Source organism: Homo sapiens, chromosome 12 (assembly GCF_000001405.40).
Source record: "Homo sapiens chromosome 12, GRCh38.p14 Primary Assembly".
NCBI classification, from domain to species: domain Eukaryota; kingdom Metazoa; phylum Chordata; class Mammalia; order Primates; family Hominidae; genus Homo; species Homo sapiens.
In genome coordinates, this window is record NC_000012.12 from 25,091,977 (window position 1) to 25,106,589 (window position 14,613).

The window sequence follows — 14,613 nt, forward strand, 5'->3', positions numbered from 1 at the left end:
AGTTTCAGGGCTGGGCACAGTGGCTCACTCCTGTAATCCCAACACTTTGGAAGGCTGAGGCAGGCAGATACCTGAGGTCAGGAGTTTGAGACCAGCTGGCCAACATGGCGAAACACCATCTCTACTACAAATACAAAAATTAGCCAGGTGTGGTAGCGGGCGTCTGTAGTCCCAGCTACTTGGGAGGCTGAGGCAGGCAGATCACCTAAAGTCAGGAGTTTGAGACCAGCCTGGCCAACATGGTGAAACACCATCTCTACTAAAAATACAAAAATTAGCCAGGTGTGGTGGTGGGCGCCTGTAGTCCCAGCTACTTGGGAGGCTGAGGCAGGAGAATCGCTTGAACCCGGGAGGCAGAGGTTGCAGTCAGCCAAGATCACACCACTGCACTCCAGCCTGGGCAACAAGAGTGAAACTCCATCTCAAAAAAAAAAAAAAATTAACTGGGCATAGTGGGACACACCTGTAATCTCAGCTACTTGGGAGGCTGAGGCAGGAGAATCGCTTGAACTCAGGAGGTGGAGGGAGCAGTGAGGCGAAATCATGCCATTGCACTCCAGCCTGGGTGACAGAGCAAGACTCTATCTCAAAAAAAAAAAAAAAAAAAAAAAGGACAGTTTCAGAAGGTAACATAGTAGCATAAGAGTAATCTTTCTATAGGCATATTTTAGTAGACTAGTCTCTCATTCCTGGTGGAGGAGCTTCTCTCATTGATGGCTGATATTTTACAGAAGATTTTCAGCTCCCAAAAGTGTTCCTACTTTAAATAACACCTGGAAGGCTGGATGAATCTTATGTTTCCTTTACGTTTGGTTCTTTCTCCTGAACATCTGAATACTTCCGATGGAGTTGTTTTGAATTAGATAAGAAATAGCTGCATTCCTAAGGGAAGACTGTTCTCTCCTTAAGTTCATAATATTTTGTTTGTAGTTGTTTCAGTTGGTGGCTCTAACCAAAGCAGCTCATCCTGGACTTCAGTCAAACGCTGTCATTTCTTTTTGATATCTGAAATTACCTTAGCATTCTTCTTTTTCAGATTTTTCAATATCTGGACTTTTTAAGCATTTTGTTGAGTTCTTCTTTACTAGTACAATAAAATTTATTGATGTGTTTCTTACAAATTTTAGATTCTATTCAATGTTTATACTGGACGAGGTTTTTCTCAAATGCAGGCAAAACAATATTCAATTCCATGATGTCGTTGGTTTTCCTTCCTTCCAGACACCAAATATGCACAATGTTGGAAATATCTGAGTCTATTGCTTCACTTCTTGATTTCTTCCTTTTGCCATAAGATATATTCCCTTTTTTCTGGGTTTTGCTTGACTTTCTGTTGTCAGTGTGTCTTTTTCAACAGATGGCTGGGCATTAATGGGTCCTATGGTTTTGGAAGTGACTGAGTCGGCTGGTTTCTCTGAAAGGGCTGAAGATGCTGTAGTTGGAATAGCCTCGTGTTGTTGGGTCTTTATTTTCTCCACTGACTTAACTTTTCTTCTCACATCACTTTCTTCAGTGCTTTCAGACTCATCGCTGAGTTTGAGTTTTCTTCCTGGCTTTTTGCACTCATTTTTGCAGATTCGTTTTCACTTCCTTCATTTTCAGAAGTGCTCGAGCTTCTTTTTGCTTCTTTTCCTGCAGGAGTTGAAGTGGTAGATAATCCACAATATTTGGAGAATTCTTCATTGGCATACATAGATGAGCTGTGTAAAGGAGGATCAAAGGTTTCATAAGGTTCTTCATCTTTCTCATTTTCACCAAGCCTGCCAATTCTTGAGACGGCAGAATTATTAGGAAAATCAAACACATTGGTAGGCTTGCACTTTTGACCAGCTTTATCTTTCACAGGATGTATTCTTCATAAAATGTTCTTTGAATATCATGGACCTGCATGCCCGGGAGGCTGCACTCAATGTGGCAGGGCCATCAGGCCACTCTCTTTCCATTTTTTAATTGAGTTATTTGGATTTTTAATTGTTGAGTTGCAGGAGTTCTTTATATAGTGTGGATATTAACCCCTTATCAGTCGTATGGTTTGAAAAGATTTTCTCCCATTCTATAGGTTGCCTTTTCTGTTGACTGGGTCCTTTGATGTATAAAGACTTTTAAGTCTGATGTAGTTCCATTTGTCTATTTTCACTTTTGTTGTCTGTGCTCTCGGTGTTATATCCAAGAAACCATTGCCAAAACCCATGTCCTGAAGCTTTTCCCTTATGTTTTCTTCTAGGAGTTTTCTAGTTTGGGGTCTTACTTTTAGGTATTTAATCCATTTTGAGTTAATTTTCATATATGATGTAAGGTAAGGGTCCAATTTCATTCTTTTGCATGTGGATATCGAGTTTTCTCAGCAATATTTTGTTGAAGAGACCATCCTTTCCTCATTGTGGATTCTTGGCACCCTGGTTGAAGATCATTTCATATACATTTATTTCTGGGCTTTTAATTCTATTCCATTGGTCTATATGTCTGTTTTTATGTCAGTACCACACTGTTTTAATTATTGTAGCATTGTAATATGTTTTAAAATTAGGAAGTATGAGTCCTCCTACTTTTTCAAAAGTGTTTTGGCTATTAGGGTCCCTTTAGATTCCATATGAATTTTGGGATAAATTTTTCTATTTCTGCAAAGAAAAAATGCCATTGGGATTTTGATAGAGATGCCCTTGAATCTGTGTATCACTTTGGGTACTATAGAGAGCTTAACAAAATCAGGTCTACCAACCCATGAACACAGGGTGTCTTTCCATTTATTTGTGTCTTGTCTTCTTTAATTTTTTTCAGAAATGTTTTGTGGTTTTCGGTGTACATCTCTTTTATCTCCTTTGTTAGGTTTATTCCTCAGTATTTTATTCATTTTGATGCTATTGTAAAGGGAATGGTTTTCTTAATTTCTTTTTTGGAAATTGTTAGTGTGTAGAAAGACAACTAATTTTTTGTGTTAATTTTGTACCCTACAATTTTGTTGAATGTGTATATTAGTTCTAACAGGTTTTTTTGGTGGAATTTTTAGTGTTTACTATGTATGAGATCATATCATCTACAAACAGAAATGATTTGACTTCTTCCTTTCTGATTTGGATAACTTTTCATTATTTTCCTTGCCTAATTGTTCTGGCTAGAACTTCCAGTATTATGTTGAATAATATTGGTGAGAGTGGGCATCTTTGCCTTGTTCCTGACCTTAAAGGAATAAGCTTTCAGTCTTTCACCACTGAGTATAATCGTAGTAGGGTTTTCATATATAACTTTTATTAGGTTAAGGTAATTTTCTCCTATTTCTATTTTTTTAAATTAGCACTTCAGTGACATAGTAAAAATAATGTGTGGTTTTTTGCATCTTTTTGTTAGTATTCCTAGTTTTTGTGTTTTTTAATCATAAAAGTGTGTTCAATCTTATCACATGCTTCTTCTGCATCAGTTGAAATGACTATATGGTTTTTGTCCTCCTTTTTGTTAATGTGGTATATTATATTGATTGGTTTTCATATGTTAAACCACCCTAACATTATAGAAATAAATCCTACTTGTACATGATGTATAATCCTTTTTATGTACTGTTGAATTCAGTCTAGTAGTATTTTGTTGAGAATGTTTACATTAATATTTATCAGAGATATTGGTCTGTAGTTTTTTTTCTTTAATGTCTTTTTCTGGCTTTGGCATTAAGGTAATGTGGACTTCATAGAATGAGCTTGGAAGTATTCCTCTTCAATTTTTGGGAAGAGTTTTATGAAGATTGGCATTAATTCTTTAAATGGTAGAATTCCCCAGTGAAGCCATTCAGTCATGGATTTTTCTTTATTGGGTGATTTTTGATTACTGATTCAATCTTCTTACTAGTTATAGGTCTGTTCAGATTCTCTGTTTCTTCATGGCTTAATCCTGGTTGACCATACTCTGTTTTGCTAACAATTAACATCTGCTCTTTCCTTCCCAACTGGAGGTGGTGGTTTAAACCACTGTAAGAAACTGCATGTCTGACAATTGCCATCCTAGTTGGTTAGCAACTCTCTAACTACAACTTACACATATCTGTCTGTTTCAAAAGTGGTTATCCTTCATTGAGCACCAAATGTGCAACAGGCAGTTGGCATCTCTTACCTATCATATGACAGTATTTCTGGAGAGGATACGTGATTGTCCCCACTGGACAGATAAGGAACAGCAAATCAGAAAGGTTGATTTTTTTTGAACATTTCTAAAATTATGATGCAATTTACAGTCGGTGGTGCCTAATGGTTTTATTGACAGCCTTTTCTTTCTTAATGATATACAAAATCGTTGTATCTCTTATAATTCATGTTGCTTTAGATTTGGGAAAGTTTTAGAAATTTGCTCACAATCACACAGGTAATGAGCAGTGTCATGTCTGCTTCCAAATCTGTTATTCACTTAATCCTGTCTGTACTCTGGTGAGAAGGATGTTCATCAGGAAGGGCATCATATTGTGTAAAGGGCACAGGATTGAGAGGAAAATTCATAAGGCAATGAATGTATATTCACCTAGCCAGCCCAGTCATACCGTCAGAGACATTTTTAATTCCAATATGTTTGGTTACGTTTCTTAAAATTCCAACCTATGCTCCTTATATGATACATTCACCTCTTTTGTAAGCATAATCTCTTTACCATTACCAATTAATTGCAGCCCATCCTATTAGCTGTAGAAGAAAGATGTGGCAAATTTGGGAAGTAAAGAAAAAAGGGATCAAGAATAGACATAAAAGATTTGTGATCACCTGCGTATATCTACCCAGTACCCAAAAAAGATAATAATATATCAGTATCATTCATTATTGATCTTTGCTGCTTCTTTTCATCTTCCACCGAAATAATTGAGATTAGAATGTCATCCACATTTGCAACTTAGTCAGTGTTAGAATCACTCGCTGAATGCTTGTGTTAGATATCTTTTAATATGCTGTTTTCTATACAGTCTTTAACACCTCTGTGTGAAGATGACAACCAGGCACAGGAAATCATTAAGAAGCTGGAGAAGAGTATAAAGTTTCTTAGCCAGTGTGCAGCACGAGTGGCCAGTAGGGCTGAGATGTTGGGAGCCATCAATCAGGTAACCTGTCTTCATTTCTCTAGTTAGAATGAAATTACAAAAAAGATTCACTTTTCCTGAGACTATGGATTTCTCACTTCTAGGAATAAGTTTTAAAAAATACTTTTGTTGTATAAGACATATGCGTTTAATACATATGTGTTTAATACAGAAAAAATGGAATATACAAATAAAAAATGTTAAAAAAATATAATACGATCCAGTGACAATCATAAAATTTTTGTGATATATTCTTCAAGATGTATAGTGTTATAATATAGTGTTTATAATCCCTTATATAGTGTTATAATCTGCTTTTTATTCATCATACAACATAGGTAACTTTCTGTGTGATATAATTATATACTCACATGTCACCATTTTATGGTATTCTACTGGTTGAGTAGATATAAATTATTTAACCAATTCCTTGTATTCAATCATTTCAGGATGTTTTTGGTATTTTTCTGTTATAAACAATGCTCCAGTAAATATCCTTGTATATGCATCTGTGTGTATTTGTCCTTAGAGAAGTAGAATTCCAAAATTTCTTTGTGGGCAAACCTGGGGAGATATGAATTTTTTAAATCTATACCTAAGCAGACTTGTTAAAATATATTTTCTTAAGGAGAAATTTAATTGTGGTAGTAATTTTAGTTTGATCATTTGTTATATACTTTCACACCTTAGTTCCTTTTTAACCCCTCACTAGAGAATACTGTTATTCTTTGTTTCATTTTTACTAAAGTTATATATGCACATAGTTTTTTAAAAGGTCAATCAGCTCTATAAGCCTTACTAATTTCCCGTGATCCAGAGAAACAACTTTCAACTTTTTGTCTTATTTGTTTTGTATTTGCATTCACATTTTTCAATAACATGCTCATGCTGCCATTTAGTGATTTATTTTCAGTTTTAGGTATTATCTGTTGCTCTTCCACTACGAAGACAAATATTTAGTTCTTTTATCAATCTCTGGCCCATCACACCTTTTCACTGTCCCTCAAGCTACTGTTGGCCATCCTGCTTTCCTGGCCAAGCTTATACTCCACAGTTAAACATAGTTTTCACTACCTTGCATGTCCCCTCATCACTTACCCCTTTCTTGCTTTGTCTTACTCATTTGGCGAATCTACAAGTAAATCCGCTTCTCCACCTCTCATGCCTGCATAGCTGGAAAATGTCACATTCCCATGCTGACCTGTTTCTCTTTGAATTCATTATCACAAACCTCAAGCGGGTCCTTGGGGCTTCCCCTCAATCACCCTCCTTCTCTTTTAAATATCAATTTCCCACCCTTTCCTTTCTCCTCAAACCACTGTCATGTCTTTCCCCATATTCTCTCTCAAACACAGGTAATGACTGCTTCCAACCTCACTGAGGAAACTGGGACAATCAAAGGAAACTGCCACAAAGCCTCCCAGCGTGTGAATCCTTACACACTCCCTTGCTCTTGTTCCTAAAGATGCGTTGTCTCTAACCCTATCCAAGGCCAGCCTTCCCCACTGTAGATGGGAGCCTTCCCGACTAATTTACTCAGAGTCATGGGACCAAATTCTCCTGACTTTTCTCCATTTACATTTTCTCCACTCTACTGAACCATTTCTATCAGCACACAAATAATATGTTGTTTTCTAGATGGGAATAATAACACAAAACAAACACAAACAAAATAACTTTTTATCCTTTCTTTTCTGGCCACCACCCTGTTTCTCTGCTCCCATTTACAGCAAACCTCGACAGAATGGTACTCACTGTGTTCAGTCTCCCTCCTCCCACGTTCTCTCCAACCCACTCTGTATCAGCCTTTTGCTTCCACAAAGCAGATTTTTCCAAGGTCACTAGTGACCTCCACATTACCAAATTCAGTTTCTCAGTCCTCATCTGGCATGGCTGATGTCTTCCTCTTCCTGGAAATGCTTTCCTCACTTAGCTTCCAGGCACCATGTCCTCTAGCTTTTCTCTACATCACGGGCTGCTCCTTCTAGGCTTCCTGCAGTTCTACCCCTTCTCCTGGACCTCTGAATATTGAAGAGCCCCAGGACTCCACTCGTGCACATCTGATCTCCATGTGCACGCAATCCCCCTGTGATCCCTTGCAGTCACCTGAGGACTCTCAAATTCATATGTTTAGCCTAACCCACTCCCCTGAGCTCCAGAGCAGAGTATGCTACTGCTGACTCAACAGTTCCACTTGGATGTTTGATAAACTCAAACCTACCATTCAAAACTGACTGTTCATGGTCCCCCCACCAAACCTACCCCATGCATAAGCTCCTTACTTCACTCAAGGGCAGCTCTGTCCTTTTAGTTGCTCAGGCCAAAATAGGGGCAGAGGGAGCTGGGGTAATTCTCAACACCTTTCTCTCTCACTTCACATTAAATCCTACAGAAAATCCTATTGGCTGAATTGTCAGAATATATTCAGAATTCAACCATTTATTTCCCTTTCTACTGTTACCATCTTGATCTAAGCCTCCATTCTGTTTTGTCCAGATTAATGCAATAGGTTCCTATATGGTCTCCCTGCTTCCATCCAATTCCAATCCCTCCTCCCAACATAGTCTGTTCTTAATAAAGGAGCCAGAGTAATCCTTTTAAAATTAGATTGTGTTACTTTTTGGTTCAGCGTCCTAAAGCTCCTCAGTTTACTTGGGGTAAAACCCAATGTCTTACTGTGGTTTGAAAGGATGTGTGGCCGGGCGCGGTGACTCACGCCTGTAATCCTAGCACCTTGGGAGGCCAAGATGGGCAGATCATGAGGTCAGGAGTTTGAGACCAGCCTGGCCAACGTGGTAAAACCCCGTCTCTACTAAAAATACAAAAATTAGCCAGGTGTGGTGGCACGTGCCTATAATCCCAGCTACTCGGGAGACTGAGGCAGGAGACTCACTTGAACCCGGGAGGCAGAGGTTGCAATGAGCCGAGATCGTGCCATTGCACTCCAGCCTGGGCAACAAGAGTGAGACTCCATCTGAAAAAAAAAAAAAAAAAAAAAAAAATGGGCAAAAGACTTCAATAGACATTTCTTCAAAGAAGATACACAAATGGTCAATAAGCAGGTAAAAAGATATTTAACATCCTTAAATGTATTAGGGAAATACAAATCAAAACCACAATGAGATACCACTTCACACCCACGAGGATGGCTATGGTGAAAGAAGAAAGGAAGTAAGGAAGTTGGAAAGGAAGGAAGGAGGGAGGGAGGAAGCAAAGAAGGAATAGTGTTGGTGAGGATGTGGGGAGATTGCAAACACTGTACGTTGCTGGGAGATGTGAAATGGTCCAGCCACCGTGGAAAACAGTTTGGTGGATCCTTAAAAGTTAAACATAGAATTACCATATGACTCAGCAATTTCATTCCTAGATGTATACCCAGAAGAATTGAAAACAGGCACTCAGATACTTGTACACAAATATTCATAGGACTATGAACATTCCAGATGTTTCACTGGGGTACTCCTAATGTCATTAGTTATAGGACTTTTATCTTAGAATATTAGAATCCCCAGAGAAAAACCTTCCAACTGCCTGCCTTGAGGGTGTAACTCTGGCTGCCAGTGTTTGGAGGCTGGAAGGAGGAATAAGGCTGGATCTCAATATTCAATATGCATATAAGTTGTTGCTTAAATCTGTTGTTTTCAGCATGATAGATCCATCATCAACTATCTGTTCTTTCCCAATCCACAGAACCTCAAGTTAACTCTCTCTAGATATCCAACTGTATGTAGTCTTTCACCAAAATAGTGGAGGGAAAATTGCTGTGCTGGCCACAGTAAGGAAGGAGTCTCTGGACCTAATCTTTTTTTTTTTTTTTACACAGACTTTCAACCATTTCTTCTGTTCACATACCCACCATCAACCTTACTGAGGTGCAGTGTAGGTTGCTTCTAGGCTTTTCTTACTGCCTTTTTTAGGGTTCAGCTTTTCCAGGTCTTAGTCATTTGCCACTAGTCCTTCTATCCAGCTTTCAAAGTCTTGTTGTCATATTCTCTTCTGTTTGCCCCTGTAGATGCATGTCTTTTTAAAAAAAAAACATTTATTGCCACTTTAGTGGGATTTAGGAATGGAGTGAAGGTAAATGTGTTTAATCACCATCTTTTAATTGAGAGTAGTATTTTCAATGTAAATGTGCTCGTTTTTTCTCTTGCTAGGAAAGCCGGGTTAGTAAAGCAGTTGAAGTGATGATTCAGCACGTAGAAAACTTGAAGAGGATGTATGCCAAAGAGCACGCTGAATTAGAAGAACTGAAACAGGTTCTTCTGCAGAATGAAAGGTCTTTCAATCCTCTTGAAGATGATGGTAATAAAAGTTTATGATAATAGTATTAGTTGTGTTTTTCTACATTCTCCTCTTTTTTGCTAAGTCTTATTATTACTTCAGTATAATAAAACTCTTAGGTTAACTTTATATTAGAAAAATAATTCATTCCTGTTATTTATATAGCTAAAAGTGAGGTGTCAGAAAACAGGTTGGGACACATGAAGGATTCTTTAGTAATGACACCAAAAATTTATTAACTCAATTTAGATTACTGAGATGACAGAATATATTTAATCCAACTCATGAAGTTGACCTTAGTGTTCCCCTACTTAGGATACATTAGAATTTCTCCACACGTAAAAAGTAAGGATAAATAATTTAAATGGGCGCTGCCATCAGCAACGGTTTTGATTCCTCACGGAAGGAATGACCCTGGCACAGTAAGCTGATTGATGAACTGGAAAATAGAGAAACATATGAGGCCACGGGGAGTAACATATCGTTTCTATAAATCTTACAATAGTTTTATTTAAAATAAACAATATGAACTTTTCTGAGCAGAATTCTTATTTCAAGAATCTGTTCCCTGTTCTAGAACAGTAACCATATTTGATACTCTTCTGAACTGTACTTTTGGATTCCTTTCTCCAGCAGACACACATGTAGTGCCTACCCTGTGCTAGCTAGGCATTATGGACATCACAGTGACACAGAGGACTGTATTCCATTGGTTAAGATGGTAATTGTTATGAAGAATGAAATGAATGATAAACAGATATTTATATTGCTCGGTAGTCTCTAAAGTCTTAATATCTTCTGAATTTTGCTTTACCTTTAAAGAATTAAGACGTTGCTTTAACATAAATGGCATGTGTAATAGCTAAAATGTGTCAATGTGTTTTTCCTTTCAGATGACTGCCAAATTAAAAAACGTTCAGCTTCTCTAAACTCCAAGGTAATTACTAATTCACTTAACAAATGTCTAGCAAATACTATAAGACGGTTTTAAAATGTTATTTGAAGTTTCAGGCCTTTATATGTAAATAACAAAATAGTGATTTTAATTCATATAGATGTATTTGTTTATCTAAGTATGCTTTTATACTCTCTGCTATATTTTTGTATCAATTAAGTGTGCCTGGCAGCATGAAGAAAGTCAGTACAACAATGGTTTCTCTCTGTTGTGTAAAACTGAAGTTGGAAGTGGGTAACCCGACAATGGCACAGCAGCTTCACAAGATCCTGAGGGATCAGCCTCCTCCTTTCGTGCTGCCTCACTACCCTCAGCCCTTGGCTTCTGCCTCAGAGTCTAAGATGGCTACTTTAGATCCAGGCACCAAGCCCTCATCATTACATCATCTCATTCCAAGAAAAAAAAAGAAGCAATGACAAGTATTCCCTCTCCCTGTAAAGACACCCCCTAGAAGTCCAAAGTAACATTTCTCTTTCCATTCTTTGTTACGAATGAGACTGGAAAATACAGCGTGTATTTGGGAGGCTGTATGCCTAGCTAAAAATCAGGAGGCTTATTACTAACTAAGAAGGAAGAATGTGATACTGAAGGTCAACTGGCAGGTTTTGCCACAGTGTAAAAATCAGGATTTCATAGATATACAGAATTTTTGAATAAGTGACTTTAAAATCATTCCATACAAATCCCTCTTTTTCAGATGAGGGAAGAGAAACACAGAAGTTAAGTGATCAGTTATGATCATGTATTGGTAGAAGCATGATTAGAAACCAAGTTTCTTGGGCCGCAGTTTCATATTCTTGATGCTCAACTAACCTATGAAATTAAATTAGGGATGATGGTTTAAGAAAACGATTCACATGGAACCCCCTTAAATTAGTTTATTTATTACATATTTTAAAAATTTATCCTGATGTACTTATTTAAACCTTAAGAACCACATAATACTATATAATGCTTTTCTGTACAAATCTCAAGAAACACTTTCATTCATTAAAACATCATGAAAATCCTTAAATGTGTTAAATGGAAAAAAATGAAACCATGAACAAAAAAGCTATACATGTAGGTGCATATTTATCTCCTCCTGAGTTGGGAGAAATCTTTCTAAGCACAGAAGCAATGGTAGCAAAAGAGAAGAATAGATTTGGCTGGATTAACAACAAAAAATTTCTGCCAGAAATATGAAAATTCAATTTAGACAAAATTCAATATAAACAAAATTAATATAGACAAAGGTGGTAAACAGGTGGTTCTCAGAGAAGATAAATACATGATTATTTAACATAAAAAGAAATGTTCAATGTTTCTAGAAGACAAATAATTACAAACCTAAACAAATTGTATATTTGTTAGATTGGCATAAATTATAATAATCCAACATTGAGTTAGGTGGAATATAAATTGGTAAAATATTTCTGGAAGACAATTTGGCCACAAGAGGATCCTTTAAGATATGTCTGTTTAACTCAGCTGTGGTCAAGTACACGGATATGCATGTACAAGGATATTTATTGGTGTTGCATATAATGATAAATTATTGAGAGTTTTCTAAATGTACATTTTCCTCCTTCTGGTAGCCATCTTCTCTACGAAGAGTGACTATTGCCTCTTTACCCAGAAATATTGGAAATGCAGGAATGGTAAGACAATTCCTAAGTGTTCTTAGTCAAAGGTAAATTCATTTTCATATGACAGAAAATATAAACGTATATTTTATCATTTCTTTTAACATTTGAACTTCTACTAAAGGTGGCTGGGATGGAAAATAATGATCGATTCAGTAGAAGGTCAAGCAGTTGGTAAGTGTAATTTTATGGTTCCTCTTTGGGAACCTTACTATTTTATACTTGGGCTAACCTAAATGAGTGCTCAAATTAAGTGATATAGTAATGTTTGATTTGTACAAAGTGTAAACAGAATAATTATATAAATTGGTATCTAATTATGAAGTTTTTTATCATAAAGTAGGAGATCTGTGAATGTGCCAAGAAAAAAATAATTAGGACATATAATTTTGTATTTACTTAAGCAGTAGGAAATAAATTGATAATGGCTACAGATGTATTTGATTTGACAAGTGGCTATAATCATCTTTATTTAGGCGTATTTTGGGGTCAAAGCAGAGTGAACACCGTCCCTCATTACCTCGATTTATTAGCACCTATTCCTGGGCAGATGCTGAAGAAGAAAAATGTGAACTAAAGTAGGTGAAGCTCAGTGTGTTTATTAACCTGACATGAACTGGGGCATAAACAATGGGAATCACTTTTATTCCATGGAGATGAAATAATGCTGTATAATTAAAAAGATAATTCATTGTAAAACACTTTTATAAACTGTAAAGCACAATATAAGTGTTATTTGTGAATATTAATACATTCACTCTCATAGCTCTCAGAATGGCAAAGTTTGAGGTCTTAAGTTAGAAAAGACCCTGGAGTTTGCCATATTTGTGAAGATAATTTTTTTCCTGTCCAGGTGTCTGTCTACAATGGGGAAAGGTCAATAAAGAGCCACAGAAGTAAAATGTCCATCTATTTATATATTTTTAAAAACATGAGATATATAACGTACGTATTATATAACATATAGGCACATATGTAACATGTATGTACATCTATCTATCTTCCATTTATGTAAGTGAAGAGTAGAGGAAACATGAAATTCTGAATTGCTATCTCTGTATCTAGTAAACTAAACAAATATACTTCTACAGTGAAAGGTAGAGGGCAAGAAGGAGGGATATGCAGAAATGCTACCTCTGAGTCCTTGGGTGACATTAGAAAAAGTGCCTAACCTTACTTGGTCTCAGTTTTTTTTTTTTTTTTTTTTTTTGAGACGGAGTCTTGCTCTGTCACCCAGGCTGGAGTGCAGTGGCGCGATCTTAGCTCACTGCAACCTCCACCTCCTGGGTTCACGCCATTCTCCTGGCTCAGCCTCCCAAGTAGCTGGGACTACAGGCGCCCGCCACCACGCCCGGCTAATTTTTAATATTTTTAGTAGAGACGGGGTTTCACTGTGTTAGCCAGGATGGTCTCGATCTCCTGACCTCGTGATCCGCCCGCCTCGGCCTCCCAAAGTGCTGGGATTACAGGCTTGAGCCACTGCGCCCGGCCTTCAGTTTTCATATCTGTTAAAGTGAAGGATCTTAAGGAGATGATTTTATGTTTATTTATTTTATTTTATACATTTTCGTGAGTGCCTACCATGGGATGGACACTCTGCTCAATTCTAAGGAATATAAAGATGAGCATGACATGGTGCAATCCTCAAATAATCTGTTTTGGTTTTTTTCTTTTTTTTAAAGTCCTGGGAGCCTACTGCATGTGTTACAAACTCTTTTCAGATTTAGAGTTAACATAATGAATTTGAGCTGGTTGGAAAAAAAAATCAGTTCAAGAGTCTCCTTCAAAAGATTATCTAGTTTTTGCTTTTTGTTAGTATGGTATGATTTCTACTGAGAAGTCTTTGTAAACAAGACTGAAACCTTGAGAATCTTACAGAAATGCAATGCAATTTATTCTGGCTTTTGGGTCTTGTTTTCTTTAAAAACTAAAGTCTATCATATTTATTTCCCATAGATGTTTGAATGAAAAAAAAGTCTTTGAGACACATTTCCCTTTGGCAATTCTGAGGGTATTATGAGCTTGAGATTTCAAAATTCAAATCCAACTAGGAACTCATCAGCAAATATAGTGGAACAATTATGTTTTGCTTAGGTGGAAGAACACCTCTTTAAATAATATGATTTGATTTAAAATGCAGTCAATCAATTGCTATTTCCCAGTTCACTGAATACTAATTTATTTTAACCAGTTTTATACTGAGAATATTTTCAAAAACACGTTTTAAATTATTAAGATTTTCAGAGAAAAACTCTGATGTTACTCCAAGTTAGCACTGATTGGAAATCATACAGAGAAAGGAATAAAATCAATAATAATGAGAAAAGATTTTTACTAATGTTAAATAAAATTTAAAAGGAAGAGATATGGTGCCCACATTTGTTTTATATATACACATACACACACGCACACACAGGTATATGTACACATCCATATACAAAACATATATACAACATATACATACATATTTTTATATATATAAATATATATATTATGGAATATGTGTGTATATATTATAAACTTTGTATAAGCATATATTAATATGCATATATTATATGTAGATATGTGTGTATATATTATATATAAATATGTGTATATATAGTATATATTTATATATACTGCACTCCAGCCTAGGCAACAGAGTTTCTTCTCCAGCCTAGGCAGAGTTTCTCTGCATATATATATGCAGAGAAAGAATTCATAGT

General features: G+C 36.4%; 1 protein-coding gene and 1 pseudogene across 21 annotated transcripts in view, besides 1 other annotated feature; one reads left to right on the forward strand and one right to left on the reverse strand.

Moving 5' to 3' along the window:
* IRAG2 (inositol 1,4,5-triphosphate receptor associated 2) overlaps nt 1–14,613 on the forward strand; it is a 110,761-nt gene that overhangs the window by 94,402 nt on the left and 1,746 nt on the right. For 19 of the 21 annotated variants that reach the window (NR_159369.2, NR_159366.2, NM_001394803.1 and 16 more), the window contains 6 exons: nt 4,934–5,068; nt 9,202–9,349; nt 10,222–10,265; nt 11,861–11,923; nt 12,033–12,082; nt 12,385–12,486. Coding sequence is in view for 17 of the 21 variants with exons in the window: in NM_001394803.1 (NP_001381732.1) it covers nt 4,934–5,068; nt 9,202–9,349; nt 10,222–10,265; nt 11,861–11,923; nt 12,033–12,082; nt 12,385–12,486 (542 nt within the window). In the remaining 4 variants the exon portion in view is untranslated. The remainder of the gene's footprint in view (nt 1–4,933; nt 5,069–9,201; nt 9,350–10,221; nt 10,266–11,860; nt 11,924–12,032; nt 12,083–12,384; nt 12,487–14,613) is intronic. The other 2 variants (NR_159368.2, NR_159367.2) reach the window with 1 other exon arrangement.
* On the reverse strand, nt 606–1,901 carry CENPUP2 (centromere protein U pseudogene 2; annotated as a pseudogene).
* Nucleotides 1,033–1,202: an enhancer, noted in NCBI's record as "experimental_26648 CRE fragment used in MPRA reporter constructs". NCBI's record gives its function as "activates a minimal promoter by MPRAs in K562 erythroleukemia cells, with activity observed for both the introgressed and non-introgressed 12:25246028 variant alleles {active_cell/tissue: K562}" and the evidence as "EXISTENCE:reporter gene assay evidence [ECO:0000049][PMID:34662402]".